This window comes from Homo sapiens, chromosome 5 (assembly GCF_000001405.40).
Source record: "Homo sapiens chromosome 5, GRCh38.p14 Primary Assembly".
NCBI lineage: Eukaryota > Metazoa > Chordata > Mammalia > Primates > Hominidae > Homo > Homo sapiens.
In genome coordinates, this window is record NC_000005.10 from 43,639,921 (window position 1) to 43,654,314 (window position 14,394).

Sequence of the window (14,394 nt, forward strand, 5' to 3'; positions counted from 1 at the left end):
ATTTTTTTTTTAAGCGGGCTGGTTTAGGAAATATAATGATCTTTTTGTGTATCTCATCTTTTGCAGATAAATGATAAAATTAATAGAAAAGTTAAAGCCCAATTGGGCTTTAAAAATGCCTCTCATCTGCCTTCTTTTATTAATTTTCCTGTTTCTTTTGCAATTATGTCTAAAAATACCTGATGTGCTCATTATTATTTTCTTTTTTATCAGCCTTTGTCAGAAAGATGTGCTTATTTTCTCTTTTATATCTAGGTCTTTCACCAAGCTGTCTCTGGGGTGTAGAGGGCATCTCTTTATATTTGAAGAATTTGTAAACATTGGATATATTCATTTCCATGTTATACATGTACAAAATCCGGACACATCTTCCTGTTTGTATTCCATGTTTAGTTATGCCCATGTCTCCCTTTATTGTGTTTTGGTACACTCCTTGAAAGACTGCCCTAACCGCATAGCTTCATTTGTTGTAGAAGGGAGGGCAGGTGACTTTGAGCCAGGCTTTTCAATTGGTAAGTAAGTAGGTTGGGGTTTTTCTAAATTCTTCTAGTTCTCCTAGTACCAACTTTTAAACTGCCACTTCTTGACTTAAAGGAGAAACTGGTTGTGATTATCCAGGAGTACTTTATTTTATCTTTAAAATAAAAATGATATGTGGTTTTTTTGGAGATGCTGTAAAGTACAAAGTAGAAAATAAAGATCACCTGTGATCTCTCCACATCATACTAAGAGTGAACTTTTTTTTTATTTGTTTTTACTGTTTTTATTGAATTTTCCATTTGTATTTGTTTTTCACTTATCTATAGGATTATAGTGTTTTGTTTTTATTGAAATTTCTGTGAGCTTTTCATCAATTTTTGTCTGAGAATTGTAATATATACATTTTTCATATATATCATATATACACATATATAATATATACATTTTCATATACATCATATATATCTATATTTTCATATCTATTGATGTTTTCTTTTGTAATTTTCTTCATTGCTTTAAATTTAGGAAGTGCTTTTTTATCCACAGACTGGAGAGATATTCCCCAAGGCTTCCTTTTTTGTCTTTTCTTTCATTTTATGGATTGATTCTCTTCTTTTACAATTAATTCTTATCTTTCTAGAGTTTAACTTATGGTATTAGGTTTGGGTAGATATTTTTTACCCAGATACCTAACTAATCATCATATTACTTTTGTTCTTCATTGTGTAATGCTGCATTTATTATGCATTATACTTTATTATATTAGGCTACCAGGGTAAGGTAGTATTCTGAAATTGTCTTCTCAGTCTTTCTCTCTCTGGACTTATTCTTTTGGGGTTTTGCTTATCTGGAGCTTTTATTTACTATTCTGCTTCTTTTTTGGCTTTATTTTTTTCCCTTCTGTTTTCAATTTTTATTTCTGCACTTTCCAGAATTTTCAAAAAATTAATCCACATGTGAGTGCTTGAAGGCAGCTGCACTGTTACATTCATGACTGTATTCCCTGTAGCCCTTATTAAAAACGTTTAATTTTAAAATTAAAACATTTTGGAGATAAGGAAAAGCACAGAGAAGAAAATAGTCTCACCACTCAAATATACCCTGATTTTGTTAAATTTTATATGATATAGAATTTACTACAAACTGTATCATATATGTATTGTATTATGTAATATTAATCTATGTATATATAAATGAGAAACATTCATGTATATAAATATATATCTAAACTGACATACTATTTTGTTATGTGCTTTTTACTTATAATAATTCCATGTCTTTAAATTTTCTTGTGTGACTTAAGTAAAATTTTAAACTTGTTATAGTGATACCCTTCAGTCTGTACACCAAATAAGTTAACCTATGTGAAAGAATATGCTATTGTTTTAAAAGTGATTGAATTTCTGAGCAATAATAGGGACAAAACACCCAACTTATCTCTGTTAAGATGCAAACATGTCCATGTGTTTTTCAAAGTTGTGTTAGCCACTGTACAGTTGTTCTGTGGAGGTTGAATGAGTGAAATCAGAGGAGATAAATGGGTTGTATATTTTGATGTTTCTAGGGAGCCTAAAAATGGTTTTGGACACTTGATGTCTTGCAAAGTGGTAGCATACAGTCCAGGGACTGATCCTTAGCTATGGATGTCTCAGGAGAAAGAAGGAGTCTCACATATCTAGGGCAGGAGAAATTAGTTAGATGCCAAATCAAATATGTGCAATCATTGGCCAAAGTTGGGTACAAATAAGGTGGGAGGAAAAGCTGTGCTAAACAACAGCTGATAAATAGAGAAGAGGCTCTGGCCCTAGAGGGTGGGGATGGTGATGACAGTAAATACCTGGAAAGTACAGGTAGCCCTTTAAATGCGCCCCTCTATGTTGAGGCGGCCATATGATCCATAGCTTTAAGTCACTGGAGAGCCGAGCAGCATGACCTTTATTTTGGGAATAGTCCTCAGATGGATGTGGTTTGCTTCCTCAAATTCTCATGGTTGAGTAAAGTTTAGTTAAGTATTCAAGGTGCCTTTGTTAGATTACAGTACGGAGGGTAGAGGAAAGGAATACTTTTGGAGAATTTTGAGAAGTGGTGAAACTACCAGCACTTCAGGGTATTGTCTCTGGGCAAAATGTCTCTTGATTCTTGCTCTTTCTTGGAAACTCAAAAGAAAGAACAAGAGATCTTATAACAAATCATGTGGCAGCGAGCCCAGTGTGGCTGAAATAGAAGAAGGTCCAATGGTGCAGTTTTGAGAGGGCATGTTAGAAAAAGCACTTCACCCAGGGTGAGAGGCATTTAGTCCCAGGAGCCTTAGGATTTGGACTTTATCTCAAAACTATACAGTTTGTAGCAAAAAGAAGGAAGTACTACATAAACACTTCACTTGTATCTTCACAACCTTTTATTTCCACATGTACTACAAATGTTATTTTTCCTTTTTGAATCAAATTCTGTAAACACAGAATTGAAAGCTTTCAGAAGAACTAAAGATAATCAGGCTACTAATGCTCTGCTTTCTTTTTATAAAAAATATGTATATTTTAAAGAGATGGAGTTTCACTCTGTTGTCCCGGCTGGAGTGCAGTGGTGCAAAAATAGCTCACTGCATCCTCGAGTTCCTGGGCTCAAGTGATCCTCCTTTCTCAGACTCCTGGGTGGTTAGGACTATAGGCATGTGCCACCACGTCCAGCTAAGTTTTTTTATTTTTGTAGAGATGGGGTCTTGCTATGTGCTGGTTTGGAACTCCTGGGCTCAAGTGATCCTCCCCACCTCAGCCTCCCAAATTGTTGGGCTTACAGGCTTGAGCCACTGCACCCAGCCATGCTCTACTTCCATACTACTAACATTACAAGTTTATTTCCGTTATCTTTTGATTTAGGTATTTCCATTGTTTTATGAAATGTGAACACGATAGTATGCTGACAGTATAAGCCCCTGTTGAACATATTGATGTATATTAGCTCGAAAAGTCCTAAGGTCTGGGTTTTCATCTTCTATGTAAGAATTAGTGAACTTCTTAAAAAGACATTGTGAATTTAAAATGTGAACTATTAAATGAGGAGAATGCACACCATGAGAACAAGGACTTTTTTTGTTTATTTACCACTGTATTCCCAGCACCAGGCATAGATAGGGCTTGACTCACTGTAGACACCAATACATAGTTGTTGAGTGGGAATAAAAGTGTATGAGGGAACTCCTAAACCTTTTGGAGTTGTAGGATTCCACTGTTTTGATTTATTGGCATTTTCCTGTCTCTCCTCAAAGTTTTCTGTGTTAAATTAAGGTAGGTTAATATGATGTGTTAGAAAATCTGGTGACATATGTTAAGATAATTGGCAATGTTCTGTTTTGTAATTCATAAATTAGTATTAACTGTACTCTTGACATTGGTGACCTTTACGAATTGTTCAATTTGGGTGCATATAGTTTCCATAGTGGTTTATTATTAGGCATTTTTTAAAAAACAGTCAAACTGTTTATCTGTTCATGAATGCTGTGGTGTATAAACCGGGTAGGGAGAGCAGTGCTGAGATTCTCATGCTGAGCAGATGGCAGGGCCTGCTTGCCAGCCACATGGCTTCCTCCTGCACACTGCCTTTGCTGCTCACACTCATCATATATTTTTCTGAATGCCCAGTCTCACCCATGCTATGGTCTTTAGGGGTCTCTTGGAAAGAGTTAAAATTTCAGATGTTAAATTCCTGAATGCCCAGAGACTACTGTAATAATTAGACTTTAAGGTGTTAGAAAATGATAATACAAATTGTGCTGCTTTCTTTGATTTTATTAGGTAAAAAAGCTCCAGTTTTATTTAATAAAGAAATGATTGAGTCAATGAAGGAAGGTTCAGTTGTTGTGGATTTAGCTGCTGAGGCTGGTGGAAACTTTGAAACCACTAAGCCAGGAGAACTCTACATTCATAAGGTATAGCAAGATGCGTTTTCTATCTGTGATCACTTCTCATGTCTTGAGTTATGGGGGGGTGTTTATTTCTTTAAATATTTAGAGACATTAAGGCTTGAAATTTTAAAATTAAAAATAGGCATATTTAAAGCTCCTGTTGAAATATGTATTTGTTTATGGGTATGTATGTATATTCATAAAGATATATAATTACAAAACTTAGCATTGAATATGAATGATAATTGTTCTAGAATGAATGTGAACATAGGGTGATAGACCTTTTTGACTATAATTTTGTTCATTTAGGGAATTACTCACATAGGCTACACAGACCTGCCCAGCCGAATGGCCACTCAGGCCAGCACCCTATATTCCAACAACATCACCAAACTCCTGAAGGCCATCAGCCCGGACAAAGATAATTTTTATTTTGATGTGAAAGATGACTTTGACTTTGGTACGATGGGTCATGTCATTAGAGGAACTGTAGTGATGAAAGTAAGTAAAGAGATCTATTCCTTCCTTTGCTTTTAATGTAAATTTGTTTTAGAATTTCTGTTTATGGAAGAATTCTATTTTGGAATTGAGACATATTTTAATAAGGTATTGGTATGCCAGCTTTATGCTGATAAAAATTATTTGTAAATGCAGAATGATTTAAAGAAAAATATTTCAAAGACTTAAAAGTACATGACTTAACCAAAAATATACACTCCTTTTGAAAAACGGAGATGAACAAACAAATTGAATAAAGTAAAAATTAAACATTCCCCCCACTTATCTGCTTTCAAGGGTTTAATTTGCACTCTTGCTTATATGGTCCTGTACACATACAAATTACATATATATGATTGTATATGTAACATGGATATTAGTATTTGTATATGTATGTGACATATTTATGTAAAATGATGTTACAAATTATATGAATTTATATATTTACATAAAATTATATTTAAAAGAACAGGGTTTTAAAAAATAGTATATTCCTTAAGCAATTTTGAAATGCTGGATTGACTTTTTAATACGTACTATTTTTTAATGTCTATTAGGATGGTAAAGTGATTTTCCCAGCTCCCACACCGAAAAATATTCCTCAAGGTGCCCCAGTAAAACAGAAGACAGTGGCTGAGCTGGAAGCTGAAAAAGCAGCTACCATTACACCCTTCAGGAAGACAATGTCAACGGCTTCTGCATATACAGCAGGTGAGGATACCATTTACCAGGGTTTAGTCTTGATTGTTTGATTTTGCAAGTTATATATATATATATCTATAGATATATGTGTAGCTATATATACGTATATATAGATATATATACACATATATATCTACACATCTATCTATCTATCTCTCTCTCTCTCTCTCTCTCTCTCTCTCTATATATATATATATATATATATATATTTTTTTTTTTTTTTTTTTTTTTGAGACGGAGTCTCGCTCTGTCGCCCAGGCTGGAGTGCAGTGGCGCGATCTTGGCTTACTGCAAGCTCCCCCTCCCGGGTTGATGCCATTCTCCTGCCTCAGCCTCCCAAGTAGCTGGGACTATAGGCACCCACCACCACCCCTGGGTAATTTTTGTATTTTTAGTAGAGACGGGGTTTCACTGTGTTAACCAGGATGGTCTCGATCTCCTGACCTCGTGATCTGCCCGCCTCAGCCTCCCAAAGTGCTGAGATTACAGGCGTGAGCCACTGCACCCGGCCTGCAAGTAATATATTAATTGTCAAAATTAGTAAATGAAATGCTGTTGTCTTTTTTGGATTCCATTAGTAATCGGGCCTGACAGACTTGGTTTTTCAGCAACATGTTACTTGTCCCACCTCTACGGAATTGGAGATTACATTTATTGACTCAGTAAATAGAGGCACTGTGCTAAATACTGGAATGAAAGCATGTGAAATAATATGCAGACAATAAACATTTTTCCTGTTATAGAAAGCATTTTAAATGCAGTCATTTATATATATACTAAAAATATACATATATGTATTTTTGAGACAGAATCTTTTTTTGTTGCTCAGGTAGGAGTGCAGTGGTGTGATTACGGCTCACCATAGCCTCAACTTCCTGGGGTTGAGGAAGGAAGCTTCTCACTTCAGCCTCCTGAGTAGCTGGGACTACAGGCGCATGCCACCACGCCCAGCTAATTTTTGTATTTTTTTTTTTTTTTGTAGAGACGGGGCTTCACCGTGTTGCCCAGGCTGGTCTTGAACTCCTGAGCTCAAGTGATCCTCCTGCCTTGGCCTCCCACAGTGCTGAGATTACTTTTATCTACATCAAATGTATTGAGAAGTGATGTATGCCATATTGTGCTGGTGTTAAATGCGTATAAATATAATTACGTTTTTTTCTGTTTTTTATTTTTATTTTTGTGAAATATCAGTTGTGATTATCTGCACACATGGGTAGGACAAGGGAAGCAAAGTTTGCCTTAAAGAATAAATACTACAATATAGGCTATAGCCCCTGAACATTTGACTAACATTTTAAGTTACTCAACTTGTAAACAAATTCAACATTTTCATTTAGATCTCTTTCTTTGTAATTTAACATAAATTCTTTTTTTAAAATTCATCTTTACAAAAACACTAAATAATTTATTGTAAAGTGATGATTAATATTCATTCTGGCTATGCATTGTTGGAGGCTGAAATACGGATATTTGATTTTAAATTGGTTTCTGTCTCAAAGAATGAATTAAAAATGTTTAGATCTATTCAGAGCCAAAACAAAAACAAAACAAAAGCAAACTATAAAGAATTAAGGACCAGCACCAGGCGCATAGAATTCTTGTAGAGTCATCATTCTCCAAATTCCCATGTGAGTCCAGATGTTTTAAAGCTAAACATGTAACTCTCCTTGAATAAAGAGTAAGTCTCAGCAAAATGACTGAAAAAGCCTCTAGTGGTGAACACTGTGAGTAGATAAAGCAGTGTCCCTACTTGCACTTATTTGTTAAAAAAACAAAAGAAATGAGGTTATTGTGTTGTACATGGAACATATTATGAGTAGGATTGTAAATTTCCATTTCTCTTTCAGATTCATAAGGAAATGTAGCAAGGCACATATAATGATTTATTTTTCTCAGTTTCTCTTATATTTCTTGAATCAGGGCATATTGCTTCTTAATATATATGACAGTGGCATATTCCAGTGAATGAAAGGATGAACTTATATGTGTTTTTCTTTATCTTGAACTCCCTCTTTCATATTAAAAATAAGTATTTTTCTTTTATATGTATCAGGAATGTATTTGAACAGCATTCTTCAAAGAATGTGATTTGCTTTCTCTTCTTTTGTCAGCCTTTCTCTTCCTCTGTTATACAGATATAGAAATATAGTCTGACATACGTTACTAAATATATTATAGAAAATACATTAGTTTATTGAATAGTTGATAAGAAAACCTTCAGGTGTATGATGTAATTTTTATCATAGATGCCTAACACAAAAGACTGTGGATTGTGATAAGGTAGTGCTTCTTGACTAATGTGGTCATGATAATAGCTAGCATTTAGTGACTCCTAGGCATTGTGCTAAATACTTCACATGTCTTAGCTCATTTATTTTTTACAAGAATTCAGCAGTGGGTATATTATTATTTTCTCTTCCAGATGAAGACAGAGAGGGTTGATAATTTTACCTATGAAGACACTGAAGCACAGAGAGGTTAAGTAACTTGCCTGAGATGACACAGCTAGGGAGCAGCAGAACCAGGATTCAAACCAGACTGACTTAAGAAAACATATTCTTATTCACAACCCTATGCAACTTCTCTAATTTTTAACTGGAAGACAAAATAGTGTTGTATCTAACTCTCTCACCAGATGGTTAATGGGCTATGCACTGGAACTTTGGATACATGATATGTGGGTAGGAAAATAAATTAAAACTACAGTCATATTGAATGATTTAATGTAAAATTAATGTCAATCCCTAGATATTCCAGTGGTGCCACTTCCAAAGTAATAGTTTACATCAAGGAAAAAGGTACCTTATTCAGGAAAGTTAACTTCTAGTTCCCTGGTCACCCACTGTCATTTTCTTTTTACTGACCACTAGGTAACACTTTCTTCTGTTGCAGAACAACTGTCCACATGTTTGCTATCAAGGAAGGCGATAATTAAAGATGTATGTTCAGAGCTGTTTGTATTCTGCACATTCTTAATTTAATTTGTATTTTTTTTCCTTTTGTTTGTAAAATCCTGTTTGCTGACTTGGTGTTGAGGCTGGAGCTGACTGCCCTGGCCAACAGTCCAGTCCAGATTCAGGAGCAATTGCAAAATTTGTGTCCCGGGTGGGTGGAAGCCATATGTTTTGGGGAGGTGCTGGAGTGAATGAAATTCTTCCTACTCTTTTAAAACCCCTATTCCTCAGCCAAATCTGAGAGTGACATAAAATTGCCTTCATAAAAGTCTTGTCTTATAAAGGTTGTGTCTTGCCCAAGTAGAAAATGCTTTGGTAGATCCTCTGTAGGCCTGTAATCGGGAATAAAAATGCTTATATAAACACATGTGGCATTGTTAATAAAAGTTAAAACAGGGAAGAGGACAAACTACACAGAGGAAAATGTGCAAATTGTTATTAGTGTGACTCATAAATATTACTAGATCTTTATAGCTTATTTTGGGGGGGTGGTCAGAAAGTTGGGTTTTGTCCACAGTATTCCTCCATCCCCCCACTTCTCAACTGTCAAATGTCTAAAAAATCTGCTCATTACTGGCAAGGGAGTGGAATTTAAAAGCATTGGCTATTCCACATATTTATGTATGTGCTTTTAATCTTACTGAGATAACTGGATGTCAGCTCAAACACACTCTTTACTCTCTTTCTCTAGGTCTCACAGGGATACTGGGTTTGGGCATTGCGGCTCCCAATCTAGCCTTTTCTCAGATGGTGACCACTTTTGGCTTGGCTGGCATTGTGGGGTATCATACCGTCTGGGGAGTGACCCCTGCTCTCCACTCACCACTGATGTCTGTGACAAATGCAATCTCAGGTTTGTTCCTCTCTTGTTTTTCCTCATCTCAGGTTTTCATAGGGTTACTCAGCTCTAGGAGGACTATCAATGCCGTTTATAAAGTGTGTTTTCAAGTTGTTTTGCTTGGCATCTGAGTCATCTGCTTTGGTGATCTAAGGGCTCCCAGACTCTGAGAGGGTATGGGATATGGGCCTGCAGAGTAAGAGGCCGTGGGAGTGTGTCAGCTCTTTGGGCTGCTCCCATTTCAAGCAGTGCAGAGCCACTGTTATTTCTTCCAAGTTTGATCCTTTTTTTTTTTTTTTAAAGAAAAGGATTCCACTGATAAAATTTGAAAACCAGTGTTCCACAGAATCATAGCTGCAACATCCTATAGGGCTCTCCTTGGATTCAACTCAGCATTCAGCCTAGCAAGGCTACAATAGGCCCCATGTGGCATCAGGTTCACCATGAAGCTATGGGACAGGAAAACACAGCTTTCCAGTGAGGTGGCATCAGGCATTTCTCTTTGGTGCCGGTCTTTTCAGCAGTTCATGCAGCAGTCCATGTGGTTGCCCAGGATCTATTCTCTTTGTCCCCTAGCAATGGGTCAGATATGAGAGAATGAGTCCTACATTGGACAAGCATAGGAGCTGTCCTGGCTTGAAAGCCTCAGGGCCAATAGTCATCTTTTATAACATTGCCATAGGCACAGCTTCGAGGATCTCTGCAGGGAACATGTCTAGCTCCAAGAGGTGCTGTAGTCAGGAAAACCCAAAGCTAGGCATCCCCAGCAGGCATTTACAGTTCATGAATACTTTCTTCCAGTTTACATGCAAATTATCTACCAGGGTCACTTTTTAACCATAAGCAATGTTGTCTATAACACTGGTGGATTTATATCTGTATTAGAGGAACATCGCTAGAAAGTTAAAAGAAAGTCCAATTCCAATGCAGAAGGAGAAAAAGTTTTGTTAACCCTTTTCCCACAGTAGTAATTTCAGTGAGAATGATGTGAAGATGTGTTGTCAACAGTCTGCATAAGCAAAATTGTTTATTTCATTTTAATGAGGGTGTAAGAAAGCTGCCTTGTTTTTTAATATTGAGAACTTTACCCTCTATGAATCTATGTATGTGAGGTACTTCAGCTATGATATTTGATTTGGTGGTGTCACTATCACTATTAACCATGTTAATGCTTTCTTTCTAGGGCTGACTGCAGTTGGTGGGTTGGCACTGATGGGAGGACATTTGTATCCTTCCACAACTTCTCAGGGCCTTGCTGCTCTTGCTGCATTCATATCCTCTGTCAACATTGCAGGTATGATGTCAGTGAAAGGTCTCAGTACTATTTTCAATGGAGACATACAAAGCAAATATAAATCCATATAAAATAGACATAATTGTGCCTTCAAAAAATGTTTCACTCTGACCGTAAATGCTCTTTTTGCAGGAAAATTAGTTATTTTGCCCATCTGTAATTTTTAGAAACTCTTGATAAAAGAACAACCCCCAGATCCCCAAAACAAACAAACAAAATGATGTCTTGCTACAAGTTAACTGGAAAGTTATTGAATGCATAGTTTTGAAGTTGGGTTAGAGCTATCACCGTAACATCTATAAATTAGTATAATTTTAGATAAAATTTTAGTCTTTTGCCTTATCCCAGCCAGGGTTTGTTACTGGAAACTGAAAGCCTAGCACATCACTCATGTGTGAGACTCATTTGATGCTATTTTGTAGCTAACAATTCTTTAATGTGTCCAAGAAACCTGGTGCCTGTTGATATGGTATTTTTTTCTTTTATAATTTATTATAGGGTTTTACAAATGTAACAACCTACTAGGAAAAGATACCAATCTTTGATCTTTCACATTCTCAAGCTTTTTGAATGGCTTTTTTTTCCTTTTAGTCATGCAGAAATAGTTTTGCATTCTGATAGCAAGTTTTCTTCCTGAATATATTTAGTGTTTTTTCCCCCACCTCTCTAATGGAACTGGCTTGAGTAATAGAATGACTTTAAATTTTGGCTGGGCACGGTGGCTCACACCTGTGATCCCAGCACTTTGGGAGGTCAAGGCGGGTAGATCACCTGAGGTCAGGAGTTCGAGACCAGCCTGGCCAACACGATGAAACCCCCCTCTCTACTAAAAATACAAAAATTAGCCCAGCATAGTGGCGCGAGCCTATAATCCCAGCCACTCGGGGGGCTGAGGCAGGAGAATAGCTTGAACCTGGGAGGCGGAGATTGCAGTGAGCCAAGATCGTGTCACTGCACCCTAGCCTGGTCAACAGAGTGAGACTCCATCTCAAAAAAAAAAATTTGAGGTTGCAAAATGTTACTTTAAATTATATTTGTTCCTAGGTGATAAAGATGTGCTTAAAACAGAAAAATTGTAGCACTTTAAAAAATCATGTTGCTCAGTGAGCTCAAAGAGGTACTATGTTTTTTATTTCCTTTGGTTTGCTAAGGTGGCTTTCTGGTGACTCAGAGAATGCTGGACATGTTCAAGCGTCCCACTGACCCCCCAGAATACAACTACCTGTACCTGCTCCCTGCCGGCACCTTTGTTGGTGGATATTTAGCTGCCCTCTACAGTGGTTATAACATTGAACAGGTAAGATGCTCTTTGTAAGTTTTTATATTTACCACAATATTTTCTTCTCTATTAGATTTAACATTGTTAGTTATCCTAATTCAAAGTATCGAGCAAATACAACTCTGTCAAGCAAATACAACAATAACCCTAGAAACATCTTGGTCAAACTGAGCATTCTCTTCCCCTAAGGATCAGGACCCTGGATTCTAGAGACAGATTTTTCTGGTAACTGAGTTTAAATATGGGTTTATGTCTTTGTTTTGATACATTTTTCCACATGTAAGAGGAGTTAAGGTTATCAGTATCTTCATTATGTATCTAGCTAGATTGCGGTGGATTTATAATGAAACAATACAAAATTTGAAAAATTATTATTAAGTACTATTAGTTCTTTTCCTATTCTTCCTCTACAAATCCAGCACATCATCTCTTGCTACTAAGAGATGTTATATATTCATAAAAAAATCCATAAAGAAAAGGATAGTTTAAACTTAATGTTGTATAGAAAAACAGAAATAATCCAGCTGGACTTTGAAAGTTCCAACTTGTAATATAACAGACCTTCAGCTTTGTTCTGAACTCTGTATTTTCTATTTCTTTTCAATGGCTGTCTTTTAGTTTCTTCTATGTTTCCAACCTGCAGTATTTATTGAATGAACAATTTTTTTTTTTTTTTTGAGAAGAGTTGGAGCAGTGAGTCAGAAAGACCTTAGTCTGAATTCCAGATTTCCAATTTATTGATCATTTGCCTTGGAGAAAATATGCAACTTCTTTAAGCTTTGATTCTGTCTTTTGCAAAATGAGGATAATGATTTTTCCCTCTTGTGGATCTCATGACACTGTGACAACACAAATAAAACATGTGGCAAAGCCCCTGGCACTTACCTCAGGGGTTGGCTCTTTTACAGCATTTGGTCAGGTTTAGTATTTTTAGATCCAGTAATGACTCCATTTAAATTTAGGTACTTTTATGTGTATTTGTGCATGATAGCAAATCCAGAAAAAATCAATTTATATAAATGGTATAAGTGCAAATACAATATAAGTATTTAATATGTTAATATTCCTAATTGGCAGGAAAATATATTGAAATCTCTAAGCTAATAGACCAAAGGTTTTAATAATCTCTCTCTCACTTTTCCTTTGAAAAGATCATGTACCTAGGCTCGGGTTTGTGCTGTGTCGGTGCCTTGGCTGGCCTCTCCACCCAGGGAACAGCACGTCTTGGCAATGCACTGGGCATGATTGGGGTTGCTGGAGGACTGGCAGCCACCCTCGGAGTCCTAAAACCGGGCCCAGAATTACTAGCTCAGATGTCTGGAGCGATGGCTTTGGGTGGTACCATTGGTAAGCACTTGTGGGCTTCTGCCTTCATGTGAACTCCAGTTTCTCAATATATATTTCTAAGGTCCATATTGATGAAATAATTAAATTTTGTTCATGGAAGTTGCTTCAGTTAATATTATTTTGGTGAAAATTCATTCCAGTTGGTGTAATTCTCATTCAAATACATTTTAGAACACTGAATAAATGCATCAACTGAGTCAAAATATCCTATACTCAATTCTTATCTTCCTTTACTGACTGTGTCCCGTTAGCTGATAATGGAATGGGGGATTGGAATCCTTATGTATGTACTATACATAAGCTAACTTTTGTTCTGCTGGGTATAAATAACAGCCAAAGATTCTGCTTCATAGACCTGTTAAAAATGAAAAAAAAAAAAAAAAACATGTGCCAGCAGAAAAACTACTGTTTTAATTTTATTCAGTTGTTTGCTGGATTGTTAAATTTTCAGGAATTTTTAGGCTGGGCATGGTGGCTCAGACTGTAATCCCAGCACTTTGGGAGGCTGATGTGGGTGGATCACTTGAGGCCAGGAGTTTGAAACTGGCCTGGCCAACATGGTGAAACCCCGTCGCTATTAAATATACAAAAATTAGTTGGGCATGGTGGCGTACAACTGTAATCCCAGCTTCTTGGGTGGCTGAAGCATGATAATCGCTTGAACCTGGGATGTGGAGGTTGCAGTGAGCTGTGATCATGCTGCTGCACTCCAGCCTGGGTGACAAAGCGAGACTCTGTCTCAAAAAAAAAAAAAAAATTTTTTTTCCAGGAATTTTTAAAGTTGATTGTTAAACACAGCCATTATTAAATACTAAATTACATAAACTTAAATGAATCAGAAACAAAGTTAATAATATTAAAAACTCGTAACTTTCTAATTAATTTACTAGGTTTTATTGTCTATGCTCTTGAGGTTACTTATGTCTATTGTATGTGTATAGAAGAAATACTATGTATCAGTGGGCTGTGGTACATCTCTTTCCAATTCTACATTCAATGACATCACATTGGTAGATTGAAATTTGACTTGGTAGCAGTATTGCAGTGTGGAAATAAGCAAACGCTACAAATCTGGGCTTGATTTATTGTTTTGTTTATTGT

At 36.3% G+C, this 14,394-nt stretch overlaps 1 protein-coding gene across 8 annotated transcripts in view; it reads left to right on the forward strand.

Moving 5' to 3' along the window:
- Window positions 1-14,394, forward strand: part of NNT (nicotinamide nucleotide transhydrogenase) — a 104,722-nt gene that overhangs the window by 37,246 nt on the left and 53,082 nt on the right. For 7 of the 8 annotated variants that reach the window (NM_012343.4, XM_005248274.6, XM_017009293.3 and 4 more), the window contains 7 exons: window positions 4,272-4,405; window positions 4,691-4,882; window positions 5,437-5,590; window positions 9,227-9,388; window positions 10,557-10,667; window positions 11,819-11,964; window positions 13,098-13,293. In NM_012343.4, the coding sequence (NP_036475.3) occupies window positions 4,272-4,405; window positions 4,691-4,882; window positions 5,437-5,590; window positions 9,227-9,388; window positions 10,557-10,667; window positions 11,819-11,964; window positions 13,098-13,293 (1,095 nt within the window). Of the gene's footprint in view, window positions 1-4,271; window positions 4,406-4,690; window positions 4,883-5,436; window positions 5,591-8,064; window positions 8,263-9,226; window positions 9,389-10,556; window positions 10,668-11,818; window positions 11,965-13,097; window positions 13,294-14,394 lie in introns of those variants that run through there. The other variant, XM_005248275.6, reaches the window with a different exon arrangement.